General features: G+C 33.4%; 1 protein-coding gene across 3 annotated transcripts in view, besides 1 other annotated feature; it reads right to left on the reverse strand.

Annotated features, from left to right (window-relative positions):
* Positions 1 to 15,978, reverse strand: part of ST8SIA4 (ST8 alpha-N-acetyl-neuraminide alpha-2,8-sialyltransferase 4) — a 96,350-nt gene that overhangs the window by 59,409 nt on the left and 20,963 nt on the right. The gene's annotated exons all lie outside the window — the stretch shown is intronic.
* Positions 6,113 to 6,342: an enhancer, noted in NCBI's record as "active region_22849". NCBI's record gives its function as "activates an Ori minimal core promoter by ATAC-STARR-seq in GM12878 lymphoblastoid cells {active_cell/tissue: GM12878}" and the evidence as "EXISTENCE:reporter gene assay evidence [ECO:0000049][PMID:35858748]".

The following is a 15,978-nucleotide window of genomic DNA, read 5'->3' on the forward strand; positions in this document are numbered from 1 at the left end:
TGGAAATATTTGAAGTTAAAAGTGCTATATCTTGATTAATTGTTTAATTTAATGATCACATTTTTCCTTCACATATAACACACATATTTTCTTTCAAAGAGTAAACTAAAAGATGTTTGTATAAGTAAAAATAATGACTATGTGAAAAATTTACTTCAATGAAATGTTACAAAGACATCTTTGTTTATTTTAACACTTGTAAAGGACTTCAAGAATGCCAGGACCTCTTCTAAATTTCACACACACACACACACACACACACACACACACAAATACATATTATATATATGTTTACACACACATATACATAAACTTAACATTTAAGCCTCATAACAACACAATGAAGTAGTACTACAATCATATGTACTTTACAGATGAGTAAACTGAAGCACAAACACAGAGGATGGGTGACCAGCCCAAGGTCATTGATTTGTAAGTGCTAGAGCTGGGGTTCAAAACCAAGCAGTCTACATCTGATTCTACACTCAAACTTTTTTTTAATACCTGGGCTAAATAAACATACACATAGATGTGAAAAATACGTCATTAAACTTCATGAGCATTGTTAGGAACTTGCTGTTACACTACATGAATTGTCAAGATAATTTAAATATGACATATTAATTTCACCATTTATCACAGACCATTAAGAATTAGCATGTGATTGTTTTCCTTTTTTCACAAAAGTGAATGTGGATATATTTATGGTAGTCAACTAATAGATATTTGAATCATAAATATGTTTCTTAAAATTGCACATAGAATCGATACTAGGTATACCCTCAAAATTCTGCCTTTGTAATTAAAAAGAAGTGTAATTTTTATTTGCCTGAGGAATGCAGGGAAAAAATATGAGTTGTTGAAAAATGCCCTGTGTATTGCGAAATAAAACTTTGAGTACAAGTTTGTAATTGGGATATTTAAAATTAGAGATTGGAGAACCAAGTGAGAATTCTCAAGATGTATGTATCCTGACACATTCTTGCCAAAATCATCAGGGAAACTGACTACTCCATTGGTCTGTGGTTGCTGAGCAGTTACTACTGTTTAACAGAAGAAAGAACTGATTCAGCATAGTACTTAAGTCCTTAAAAATTATGTTGTGCACTAAAAAGAACGAAACAACATTTATTATGGCTGATACTGTAATCACCCATGATAGAAAACTAAGGTAGAAAAACTATAATTGTTCCCTTTGCAATTTATGCTGTTAATAAGGTATGTACAATGGGTACATTAGAGGGGTTGTAGGAAAAATATCTAACTCTTAGTGATTATACCATCAAATTGCCACAGAAATGTCGCTTTGACATTTAACTTTCTTGCTTAAATAAACAAAAAAACTTAATACCATATTCACTTGTCATTCTTAGAAATACCTTTTTGAAAGTATAACCCAAGGTTGAAAATGATTTTTAACTTAGTATATATTATTTATTCAATACTGAGTCCCAGAAAGACAGTTGGTTTGATGCTCAAAAGATGTAGGCATTCTAATACCAATCAAGCATTGGGAAAAATATCATGAGTGTACAAAAATGAGTTTCAATTTCTGATATCATAAGGTAGGCCAAGGCAATTTCACATTTATTACACCATACTTATTCTAAGGGGATCATTCTCAAGCTCTATTTTAACAGATTCATACTTTGACCTAGCTGTAATGCCTGATCCCCATAATGTTCTTATCCTCTGTATCTGATTCATTACAAAGCCCTAAAAATTCCTCTCAGAATTTCCCCTGAATATATTTCCTCTTGTATGTTCTTATTGATACATTCTCAGCTGAGGTACCACCATGTTTCTTTGAACTAGTATTGTAATAATGTCCTTATTATTTTTCAAACAATTAACTAGACTCATTGGTAGATCATGAATTAATTGTGTGCTCATTGATAACCAATTTTGAAAGAATAAAAAAGGATAGAGCGGATTATAACAGAAAATGACAGTGTTCCTTGAACATAATTTTAAGAAAATTTGTTGAAGACTTCCATATTTGTGTGCATGTGTAGTAGCCAGGGAAATAATACAAGGAGTAAACCATGATATAAAATCTATTCTATTACTAATCATCTTTGTGAAAAGATATTAAAAGACACTGCTCTAACCAGTTGCTTGCCACAGGGACTGTCAACTTTATCAATTCTCTGTTTCAGAGATGGTGTTTTGTTGTTTAAAATGTACGTTTAATCATGTTATGAACCTAACCAAACATCTTCAGTAGTTTCAGTCAAGATTCCTAATTGGGTCTTTCATAACTATTCCCTCCCCTACCCAGAATTTTTGTTTTATACATCCTATTGCATATCTTAGATTCAAATATTATCAGACTACCTATGTCTTTGTTTATCTGTATTCCTTTATTTATGCTGATGTCTCTACCTGAAACTGCCTCTTTTCCTCAGACACCCTAGCCCTAAACCTGAAAAAGTCATATTTGTTCTTAAAAATCAATGATTAATATCCATTTCAATGCTTTACATAATTTCCCAGGCAAAATTGTTTCCACTGCTCTGGTGTAAAAGTACTTACTCTTATCTGTATTCTACTATATATTAAACTCTGGCATATTTTGTTACTTGTATAGGGATTGACATCTTTAATAAGTTAGTAAAGCTACACATAATAATAATGAGAGCTTATGTCCTCCTTTTGCCTCATTATCAGTGCCTAGTTCTGTGAGTACCTTTAATAAAGCAATTTGGACACCGTTAGTGTATCAATTTATTTCCTTCATTAGAGTGTGATCACCTCAAAAGTCGAAACTTGCTCTTTATATTTGTATCTGAACTTTCTGATAAAGCACTGAATGAAGAAGTGAAGAACAATTATAAGAAAGATGAAAGTTATAATTACATATAACTTGAAACAATAGGCACTGACAAGTGTATTTGTGTTTGGCTTTGGAGTACATTTTTAACCTATGTCTTATTTACAGATAAGTATGATAGTTGAAAAATAACAAGTACTTTAAATCAAAAACTCTAGCCATATTTTGGAAATCTATAGAAGGATAGATCTACCGACCATTTGCTAATGTCCATTTCATGTCAAAGACAGATAACAATGATAACATTTCACATTAATATGAATCATACCATCGACACTAGGTGTTATCATCTTACTTTCTGCTATGATCTGAATGTCATCACTTTTTTCCTCCTCTAATATCTTCCTCACTTAGGGTGCCTTCTCTTTCATATATTTTATTTATCTGTTTATTATTATGGTCTTTCCAAGTGTGAATATGCTCATGTTTCTGTACTTCTCAGTATGTTTCTCTTCTGTTTATAACAATAACAACAAAACTCAAACAAACAAACAAAAAGCAGACCAACATGCTAACAAACTCCAAGGGTCCTTCTTGGACTATAAGATTCCATGCAAATTCTTAACATGATGTCATGATCCTTCATCATTTAAATTCAGCATATCTTGGCTTTTCCCCTTGAATGTTCTTTATTACGAACCTAACAATAGGGTGGTCTCAAATTCTGTCTTATCTTTTTTGTTATTATTATACTTTAAGTTCTAGGGTACATGTGCACAACGTGCAGGTTTGTTACATATGTATACATGTGCCATGTTGGTGTGCTGCACCCATTAACTCATCATTTACATTAGGTATATCTCCTAATGCTATCTCTCCCACCTCCCCCACCCCACGACAGGCCCTGGTGTGTGATGTTCCCCACCCTGTGTCCAAGTGATCTCATTGTTCAATTCCCACGTATGAGTGAGAACATGCGGAGTTTGGTTTTCTGTCCTTGCGATAGTTTACTCAGAATGATGGTTTCCAGCTTCATCCATGTCCCTACAAAGGACAGGAACTCATCCTTTTTTATGGCTGCATAGTATTGCGTGGTGTATATATGCCACATTTTCTTAATCCAGTCTATCATTGATGAACATTTGGGTTGGTTCCAAGTCTTTGCTATTGTGAATAGTCTTATCTTAAGATCATGGAAAGTATTTGTCTGTGTGCTTACTGGTCCCATTGCTTCAGATTCCTCTTCGTCACATGTTGAATAATCATTCAGATGTACAGTGATTTAATTTAATTTGTAAGGCTTTGGAAGACATCATTAACTTGATTTTTGGAAAAGCTGTTATCAGTTTACATTTCCAAATGCATTTTACGAGAGTGCCAACATCAATGTAACTTTTTACTGACTAGTAAACATTTTAAAAATCTTTGTTAGACTGATATATGAAAAATCGTTTACAATCTTTGTTTCAGAAAATGGGTGAAAACATTTAAAACATTTAAAATTTTAGATATTGTCATCATTTCCATTTTTTAAAATTTTTACTTGTAGATAAAATAATTTCTGTGTGAGGAGTGACATAATTAGAAATAAAGAGCTGTACCTCTCATCACAACTTATATTTCATATTTCATGTGTAGTTTTAAGTTAAATTTTAAACATCATAATTAGAACAACATATAAATCATATTTCTACATATAACATAAATTTTGCATTTAAAATCAATAAACAAAAATCACAATTTAATTAGTTTTATACAAATTATAAAATTTCATAGATCAAAATCATGAATAAGGTATTAAGCAAAATTACTGGAGAAAATGTGTGTAGCAAATATTAGATAAGCAATGTTACTATTCCTAAACTATAAGTGGTTATTCGTTTTAGTAGTAATTTTAAAAACATCATTCTAGTGCCCTAGACTTGGCTGTCTATCATGAACTTAGCTGTTTGCTATTTGCTGTTTGAGTTAAGGGAATACATATCCTCTGTGAGAGTAGAAGGATAAAGTCTTAAGGCCATTCATTGTGAACATGTAGAAAAATAAGATATTTTTTTTCTGTTCCAGAAAAGTCTATTTTGTCATAAAAGAGTTAGCATTCAAGGAGGTCAAGAAGGTGATTTAAAGCTTTCTGTAAATTATCTACCAGTGGAGAATAAAAAATCGATTGAATTATAAAATGCATTGTACCAGCCAGTCAATTCCTCCATCCTTTTTCTTTGGGAAAAATATCATCCCTACTTTTAGGAATATAGATTATCATTAAATAATATATCTTTACCATATTACCTTAGTTTTCTGAAGACATATATATCTTCACTACATTTATATCTAATTTTACATACTCAGATTTTGTAGACACTCCTATCTGAGTGATATTGCTTTGTTTTTTATATCACATTGTGTAACATATTATTCAGTGTCAGTTTTATCCAGTTATTTAGTGTCAACTTTACATATGTTTGATAAATTTGGGGAAAGTTCATCTTCTTATTCATATCAGACAATAATAATTTGTGTCTCTAGTCAACAGGCTTTCCTTTTAGCCATGGCTGTTAGAAAATGCAGTGCCAATTTTAAGTTTTACCTATGACGATGAACTCAAACAAGATGTCCTTTAGCATCACTCATTATGAGTTTTGTTTTACAGTTTGTGCTTTTCTTTACTATGTTCTCATCTGATAAATGAGAAAATCACTCTGCTGTTAATAGGCCTATTATTATTGACCTCACTGAACAGTGAAAATAGTGATGGTTGTCTAATATTACATTTATAGTAATTAATAGGAACCCAGATTTTCTGATCCCTAATCTTTAGAACATTTCACTGTATCACTCTTCTTAGTTCTGTATTTTCTTGTAAAGGTTTAAATTCTCTTTATATATGACTCCTCTTATGTACTAATTTTGAAATTCAGTGTTTTAAAAATTCTGACAGCAGATACGTGAATACAAACCAAAATTTTCTCAACTCCTACATTAATTTTCTCATTAATTTATCCATTCAATAAATAAATTATATATACCTCAATGTATCAGGTTTTTCTTGGAAGTTATATTCTTTTTAAAAAATCTTATTCACTCTTTATTATTTTGTGTTTATAATTGACACATAATAATCCTATATATTTATGGGGTACAGCACGTATAGATTATATAATGATCAAATCAAGGTAATTACCATATTCATCACTTTAACATTTTTTTCATTTCTTTCTGGTGATAACATTGAAAATTTTTTTCTTGTATGTATCTTGAAATATACAATACATTGTAACTTTCTATAGTCAGCCTATTGTGTCATAGACACCAGAATTTATCCTTTTTGTCTGATAGGATTTAGCTGTGTCCCAACCCAAATCTCATCTTGAATTGTAGTTCTCATAACCCTCAAGTATCATGAGAGGGACCAGATAGAGATAATTGATTCATGGAGGGAGTTTCCTCCGTCCTGTTCTTGTGATAGTGAGTGACTTCTCAAGAGAGCTGATGGTTTCATAAGGGGCTTCCCCTTTGCTGGGCACTCATTCTCTTTCCTGCCACCCTGTGAAGAGGTGCTTTCCACCATTATTGTAAGTTTCCTGAGGCCTACCCAGCCATATGGAATTGTGAGTCAAGCCTCTTTTCTTTATAAATTACCCAGTCTTGGATATTTATTTATTAGCAATGTGAGAATTGACTAAACTGTCTAACTGTAATTTTGTACCTATTGACCAACCTCAGTGTACCAATCTTGGTGCTAGGTCCTAAAGATATGGGCTAAAAAAAAAAAAAAAAAAAATCAAACATAGTGGGAGCTCCAGCGTGCCTAGGGCATATTGTCTAGGCCAGCACATCTCAAGCCTTAATGCACATAAGAATCACCTGGACACTGTAATCAAATGAACATTCTGACTCAGCAGACCAGGTGCAAGTTCTGACATTCTGTAGTTCTAACAAGCTTCCAGGTGATAATGCTGGTCATCCAAGACCACACTTTGAGTAGCAAGGATTTACTTACATAAATAAGTACACATTTAAGTGGCCCTCTTAATTGATATCTTATTGCTGTTTTTGATTTATAAGGAAAAACATATGCACCAAGAGGAAATTAGGAGGAAAGTAGTCAAGGAGAGAAAAAGCTGCAGGGCAGGGAATGAAGATGTTGGTTAAGAAATTAAAAAGGAGTAAATAGAAGATAGTGATTTAAGCTAGAGGGAAGATGAGGAGAAGATAGAATGGAGGAAAGGTAAGTAGAAAGAAATAAGTAAATAAACAAACTTAAGTTAGAAATTCCAACTAATTAGCCAAAAGTGACAAAAAAAAATGTTATGTAGCTCTTAGTTGATTTCTGACTCACTATCTCTAGAAGACTCACTATCTCTAGTAGCTTTGTTTAAACAAAGTAAGGAGTGGTATTTGATGGTTAAAGAATATTAGGTGCCAATTGTAATTGTTAATCATTGCCTCCCTCAGAGTCCACCATATAACACCAAAGACAGTGCAGGGCCAGATTTTCTTGTTACCAAGGGGAAACAAGGTTTCTTTTCTATGAGGAACCAGTACTTAAGTGCTGCTTGAGAGTTTCTACAATCTCCAGCCATCCCAGAGAAAGGAAAGAATTTACCACCACTTTTCCAACAAAGGTGGGGAAGAGGAGACTAGGAGCGATGGAATGAGACTTTGCTCTCTGCCATCACTCAAAATCACTATTAGGAAATATATGAATATTTTTTATTGAAAACCACTGTTGTGAAATTATTGAGTATAGCTAGTACAAATATTAGAATATGCTTTTATGTAGATACTTATGAGAGTAGATTATGTAAAAACTTGAAAGATAACTACAGAAAAAATGTAAAAGCACTTTAAGCATTGCTTTGCAAAATTCAAAACAATTTTCACAACCAACAAATTAAATTCCTTAATGTAATATATACACTATTACATTAATTTCAAAAGTACTCAAAGAGAAAGAACCTAAGAAAGGTTTTGAAAGACACTTTATACAGATTGTATGAGGGAATCTTTCTAAACCTGTTTTCCTTTACCTATGGTGATATATAAATGATATATGCAATCTTTCAAACTCTCAATTCTTGAAATTTTACAACACACTTTTTGACAAATAAGCATACATGGTGGGGGTACACTTGAGGCAAGGATTTTGTAGGAGCAATTCTATCACTCTGTGGTCTCTATAATAGGTAAGTTGTAAAACTCCAGGTAGACAGAAAGAGTACATATATTAATCTCAGTTTGTAAATTAGAAAACTAAATATAGAAAAGCTAAAAACTTCATCCAATATCACCTACAATAAACTCTGATTGGACTCTTGGACTATATCTGAAGTGATGCTTTTCAGTGCAGCACAGCATCAATTTGATTCATATTTTTATGTCCTCTCTCTGTGCCTTTTCCTCTCTCTCCCTCTCCTTTTCCCCTCTCCCCTCTCTATATTTCTCTGCCTGTCATCTCTTTTTTCTTCCTTTTTTTGAGACAGGGTCTTGCTCTTGTTCTTGCTCTTTTATGCAGGCTCGAGTCTAGTGATACCATCATGGCTCACTGCAGCCTCAACCTCCCGGGGTCAAGTGATCCTCTCACCTCAGTCTCCTGAGTAGCTGGGACTACAGGCACACATCACTAAACCTGTCTAATTTTTTAATTTTTTTAGAGAAGGAGTTTTATCATGTTGCCCAGGCTGGTCTCAAACTCCTGGAATCAAGCAATCTTCCCACCTAGGCCTGACAAAGTGCTGGGATAACAGGTATGAGCCACTGTGCTCAGCTTCTATCTGTCATCTCTGTTTATCATCTATCTATCTCTATGTTTACATGATATTTAGCACATCAAACAATCCAAGTGCAAAATTTAAAAAATAATATCAATTGGACAATTTTTCTAATGCTTACTAGCTTTTATTTAACTTAATAAAGATTCTATCATTATTCCATTTTATGTGGCATTAAAGAAGTGTTATGTAAGTTAAATTCAGCTCAGATATGTACTAGACAATCCCCTGAACTGTATGTAAAGTCTAAAAGTGGGTCAAAGTATTCTACAGTACAGGTAGGTAGAGACCACCAGGGTTTTAGTCAGTTGAATATTTTTCAGCCCCTTATGATGGTGACTGAATCTGTTAATAGTTAATTATATAAGGTGTGTAGATGTTGGCAGTGTTCTGGTTGGTGTAGAGTAGAATGCTGATAGCTTATGGCACTTAAATAAAACTTTAACGTGACCAATGATATCTTCTTAAAATTTATTATGTGTGATATCTAAAGATTAGTAACCTAATTAGTTATCCTGACATATCTCAAAGACTTCAGATAAAGTTCTGAGTGGGAACACCTCATTCAGCATTGGAAGCATACCTTAATTTCTCTTTCAAACATTCTATTAGTCCCTCTGCATTATTGGAAATAATAAACCTGGCCGTAGACAAATATTTTAAATGTGGTATGTGTCTTTGGAGACTCTGAATTGTAGTGATTATTCCTCACCCCACACAGCACAGGTTGTCCTTTAAGAATGAATGTAGATGTTCATTTCTGTAATTGGGCACTGTTCATGACTGGCTCTTGGTTGGTCCTCTTGAAAGTTTATTGTATAAATAAAATAATGTAACAAGTGTTAGTGTTTTTGATAAAATAAACTTGACGTTTATCTTTTAACAGCTAATTTTCTCTTTAAATGTTTACAAGAAAAATATAAAACCAATGTATTTCAGTTGATAGAATTTTCATTAATGTGGACTCTTGTTGAGACAAATTTTAGGGAACTAGTTCTAGAGGTTCCCAAATTTACTAATGTTAAAAGTAGTGGTATCAAGTAGTGTTTTAGTGTTTTACAATTTTAAAATCACATATATTATACCTTCTTCTGCACACAATATTACTATTGATGTTAGAAGTGTAGCATTAGTCAACTGAATATTTGGAATTTCTCTTTTATTAGTTAATAAAACAAAGACATAAAGCCTAAAACTATACTCCTCTGTATTTAATAATACCAGAAATACAGATGTTATCTGAAGGATAAAAGAAATTATCCCAGAGATGAAAAAGAGAATATGAGAGATCGAATTATATATGTAACTGAACATTCTTTCATACAGAATCTCATAGGGGAAAATCATCATTTTCTGCAGTTTTAAGGTAGTTCATCAAGAGTATTCAGAATTCCTATCAATCTTTGAAGAGATACGTCTAAGGAATAATACCAAAACAATATTTTCTTTTATGCTCCCATTTGCTTTTTTTCCTCAAGCAGGTGAGAAATGGTACATAAATGGCACATCAATGCCTAACCAAATTTGTCAAAATTTTGCTTGTCTGTAATCATATGACAAAATCTTAGTATTACAAGGACATTATCTTTTTTTATAAACCTTTCTTATCAGAGGGTACTGCCGGACAAGAAGTAAGATATCTTTAACCTAGCCAATGACTGGCTTCCTTTGTTTTTCTATCTTAGCCAATCTTCTTTCTTTGAAACATGGTATTTGCTATTTAAGGAATCTCGTAAAAATACTAGGCATTTTTAGAGTTCCACATATAAAAACATTGATCACAGTGTATTTAAAATTCTTACTTAAATTAGAGTTTTAGACATTTTTGTTAAGAAATAAGAATTTTACTCTTATGATTATTTTTCTGTTATTTAGGGATATATGTACATGAGACCTAAATTTTAGAAATCAGTTTGATATTGAGTCACTCGGTAGGAAATGAAAATTGAGCTTTAATTTATTTTCCTATTTTTTTCTGTTTCTTTTTTTAACTTTAAGCATCATGTAATGATATTGACCAGGACTCTCATTTTTTGAAATACCCCATTAAAAGCATTATTTAACGTAATTGATTAATGAATGATACAAACAGCCACTAAGAGAGTACCTTGGTTTATAAAGTTAGAGGTCAACTTGAGTATAATACTTGGGTAAATCTTATCCTTAAGGAGTTACTGTACTAATTAGTGCCCACTGCAAGTAAACCAGGTATAATTTATCTCTCCCTCTCTCTCTCAACAAATTTACTGTGTTAAATGAAAAGTGAGAAACAAAAAAGTGGAAACACAGACTGTAAAACCAACCATCCAACAAATCAATCATATCTACAGCTATGCAGATATATACACATCTCCAGGATAATAAAAAATTCTAGGGATTCTAAAAATTATTACTGAAATTTTGTAATAATTTTAACCAGTTCAATGTGGCTAGGAAACTATTTCAAGAAAGAATAATGAGGATTGATTAAATTTGAAGCAAAAATTCTCTGGACCTTCTAAAGTAGAGGAGACACATTGGCAATAACAAAGGGCTACGCATACACTTGAGGAAGGAAATGTGTTTGTTACACAAATAATGAGTCAGAAGGCAACAAGAAGAACAAGAGTTGTAAGGAAGAAAGAAAGTCTGGTATGACAATAGGTCATTGAAGATCTCGTGTCCACAATGAAGTGACTGGTTTATGTTCATAATTCAGATTAGAATTTTGTATTTTCAAGGGTTGTTACAAATCTAAGAATGTTAAGAGGTAGCACAATATGACCCTCAAAACAGAAAATAGATATCATCCTAAGGGAAAACGTAGTACCAGAAGAAATAATCCAAAGTCTATTGGTTGAACACTTACACGTGATTATGGAGAGCTTCTATTATTAAAATTATTATCAAAATTGTCTTTGATTTTTGTTTCATATACTCTATATTTAAATTATGGTCACACTCTCCACCTATCAATTACAAATTGGTATTTGTGAGCTGAAATTAACTTTTGTCTTTGGGAAAATGGGTTGGCATTGGATTCTGTTTTACTCCTCCGTCTTTACTACCCCTCAAATAATGATTTGATTTCAGAAATTCAAATGGCTATTAATTAACCTTTGAAAAGGATCTAACTTATAGGGAGTTTAGGCACTGGGAGAGTTTGGTTCATCATTAATATTGCCAGACATAGCACCTCATTTTTCGGCTTGATGGTTTGAAGGATATATTCTTAGGAGTGGCCTAATTAATCAAATGAGAAGAATGAGGTCACATGCCTCTTCACAAGAAGTGACAGTCTTTATTCAGAAGTGACAAAGATTTTTTTTTTTAATGGAGTTTCGTTCTTGTTGCCTAGGCTGGAGTGCAATGGAGCGATCTCTGATCACTGCAACCTCGGCCTCCCAGGTTCAAGAGATTCTCCTGCCTCAGCTTCCTGAGTAGCTAGGATTACAGGCATGCACCACCAGGCCTGGCTAATTTTGTATTTTCAGTAGAGATGGGGTTTCTCCATGTTGGTCAGGCTGGTCTCGAACTCCCGACCTCAGGTGATCCAACTGCCTCAGCCTATCAAAGTGCTGGGATTACAAGCATGAGCCACTGTGCTGGGCTGCAAAGTTTTTATTCCCAGGCATTACTTTTGCTCATTTTTTTGTTTGTAATGATGACTCTTAAGTGCTAATTGAACCTTGATACAACCATCAACTACTTAATAATAACCAACTATCAGTGTTTTGCTTATTGCTTCCTACAATAAAAGAGTATATTTTTCAGCTCATAGGTACTGAGAAAAGTTTTCAAGTATCTCCACAATTAAACACTGTAGAATACAGTAAGTGATCACGTACAATTTCATAATAAAATGATAAAATTAAACTCAAAGGAATGAATTTCTCAACTAGCTATTAAGTAACAAAAGATGGTTTTTCTGTAGATATTGTTTCTAAAATGTAGATACTTTCTAAAGTGTTCATTAGAAAATCTGATTTTTTGTGGTAAATCAGAAATTTTGTTGTAGAATGTTGTAGATTATATTATGTGGTAGGCAGTACCACATGTTTCGCTTGGTGAGAGGGTGAGACAAAATGCAAACAACAGATGCCAAATCTATAATCCCGTACCGCATGAAAGACAGTAGAGCCCTAGCAAATAATTTAATCTACAACATTCTAACTTCTATTTTTGGAAAGTAGTAAAAATATAGAACAAATCAAAAATGATCATGGTGATAATTTTTGTGCCTTCACTAAGATGCTTATCTTTACCTTTCTATACTTCTTGGTAAGTCCAGAATACATTATGAACTTCAATTGGTCACTATTTAGTTCTTATTAAGTAATCTTTTTAAACAATCACAGCTGCTAAAATATCAAGAGACTCCTAAACTCCTAGTCCTAAGTGTACTCTGCCATTTACAAATTTTCAAGCACAAATCAGTAAATTCTGTGGCTATTCAACTCATTTCTACATTGCAAATTTATAGAGAAAGGTTTAGAAATTGTTCTTGAAAGTTAAGCTCATAAAAATTTGAATTTGTAGAGCCCAATATATTTGCTTTTAATTTTATCATCTTTAAATATAATATAAAGGAATGTTTTACCTCTAAAGAAATAATAGAGATGTTGTGTCTTTAAAGGAATAATATAATAGAGATGACGATAGTTTAGAAAAAAAATCTAGTTATCAAAAGATTTCAGATGTGCACATGTAAAGTAGCCTCTACCTTACAACATTTCTCTAGGTTGTAAGACACTGAGTTTATGTAAATTCAACTTCATGCAAATTGTTTCATAAGATACATTCTATAAATTTGGAATTATAGACTATATACTGTAAGTTTAAAAATATGTTAATACGAGAAAACAAAGAGGCACGCAAAGCAGAGATCCTCATGTTTTGCTTGGTGAGATGGTGGGCTAAAAGGCAAACAACAGATGCCAAATATATGTTTCTCCATGAAAGACAGAGTAAGACAGCTTCTGCATTTACTGTAGGAAGAATTTGCATCCTGCTCTGAAACTTGGTCACCTAAGGTTTTAGAGGAGATGATGACTAGATGAGCTGTAGTTTTGGAGGAGATGATGTGACAGCCACTCATCCCAGACAACCAAGTACATTATTATGGTAATATTGAAGTTTGTATAAGGGATTATCATTCATGCAAGGTGGGATGGATGACGGAAGACCATGATAGAACACTTTTCTCCCTCCTCTCCCTCCCTCTCTCCTTTACTTCCTTCCTCTTTCCCTCCCTTTCTTCTTTTCTTTCTTACTACATGCCTTCTTGCTTACCTCTAGCAAATATTTATAGAATATATAAATATGTCAGACTCTTTACTAGGGTCTGAGATTAAAAAAGGGATAAATGCAGGCAAAGCTTGCCTTGCATATTCTAGTTGTAAAGATAAACAATAAATAAATAAACATACAATGCAAAAATAAATACATAAATGGAAGGGTAAAGAGATAGTGACAGATGGTGACAGTGGTAGGGGGTGTTTCTGATATTACAGTCAGAGAAGACTTGCAGAGGATATTCTGTACAAGCATAGACCCTCATCCTTTCCCCCAAATAAGGGGTAAAACCACCCATAGGTATGTGGGTAAGAGGGTTTCAGGGAAAATGACTGGCAGGCACATCGTCTGTCCCTGAAGCTTCAGATTACCTCATTTATTGTTACTGGCAAGATATTAGTATTTTATAGAGTGTGGTAAGAAGCTGCTTTATGATGAAGAGAGACTTTGGCTTTGGGAACAGGGAGCAAGAATGCAACCCGTCACATCAGTTAAGGAACTATTGTAGAGTTCTAATCAAGAGATGATGTTGGCTTTTACCAGGGTGACAGCAGTGGATGTCATGAGAAATCATTTGACTCCTGATATTTTTTGAAGGTAATATCTATAGAATTTGCTGATTAATTGGTGATATAATGCTAAGAAGAAAAAGGGGTCAAGGCACTTTTATGGCAATTTCAATTTTTCTCATTCATATTTACCATAAAATAATTAAATAAGATATTTGTATGTGCCTGTGGGTGTGTATATGAATCTGACACTCTAAGACATAGTTATCTGAGTTAGATATACATAAAACACATATATCTACATTCACTAAATTTCTACATTATAGTGAATTAAGTGTCAACTCCCCATATATGTGCTTTTCAAAGATGCAGATTCTTTCTCCACTCTAAAATTTCTGATTTTGTATGCAGGTAAGACTCATGTAGGAAATTCACCAACAGTGGGAGGTAGACTGAAGTAGGTTGTAGATTTACAGAAATGTGTTTGAAAAATCCACGGTGATGTTCCAAAGTCAAAAATATAAATTAAAACTCCAGCAAGCCTATCTTGTTTTTAAGTTTATAAACTCTGTTTGAATTGTCAAAGAACTCTTGTATTACAAAGTATAGAGATAAGTCTATTTTGAATTGAGAAAGTTAGTATTTTGTGTGGCATATATTCTTATATAATAACTCTCATTTTAGTTCATCTGAGGTCATCCGTTCTCTGAGAAGAGAAAGCGCCTGGGAAATACCAATGAGAGAAAATTCTAGTTTGTTAACTATGTCAACATTATTCTCAAAGTTTTAAAAGTATTTTTTTCACACTACTTAATATTACTAGTTATCTAGGCAAGGAATTTTATCTTTTAAAGTTTGGATGTAAATATATATATATTATAGAATACTCATGAAATCTAAAAGAAAGTAAAGCACACATTGCACACAGAAAAAGTATAAGGTCAAAATACAACTGTTGACTCAATGAGGTTCTCACTTGATATAGTTTAGCTGGGTCCCCACCCAAATCTCATCTTGCATTGTATTCCCATAATTCCCACATATTGTTGGAGGGCCCTGGTGGTAGAGAATTTGAATCATGGGGGTGGTTTCACCCATAGTGTTCTCAGGGTAGTGAATAAGTCTCATGAGATCTGATGGTTTTATCTAGGGTTTCCGCTTTTGCATCTTCCCCAGTTTCTCTTGCCACCGCCATGTAAGAAGGGCCTTTCGCCTCCCACCATAATTCTGAGGCCTCTCCAGCCATGTGGAATTGTAAGTCCAATTAAACCTCTTTTTCTTCCCAGTCTCAGGCATGTCTTTATCAGCAGCTGAATACAAACTAATACAGTAAATTAGTACCCGTAGAGTGGGGTGTTGCTGAAAAGATACTCAAAAATGTGAAAGCGACTTTGGAACCGTGTAACAGGCAGAGGTTGCAACAGTTTGGAGGGCTCAGAACAAGACAGGAAAATGTGGGAAAGTTTGGAACTTCCTAGAGACTTGTTGAATGGCATTGACCAAAAGCCTGATCGCAATATGGATAATAAGGTTCAGGCTGAGGTGGTCTCAGATGGAGATGAGGAACTTGTTGGGAACTGGAGCAAAGGTGACTCTTTTTATGTTTTAGCAAAAAGACTAGTGGCATTTTGCCCCTGCCCTAGAGATTGGT

Source organism: Homo sapiens, chromosome 5 (genome assembly GCF_000001405.40).
Source record: "Homo sapiens chromosome 5, GRCh38.p14 Primary Assembly".
In the NCBI taxonomy this organism is placed as follows: Eukaryota; Metazoa; Chordata; class Mammalia; order Primates; family Hominidae; genus Homo; species Homo sapiens.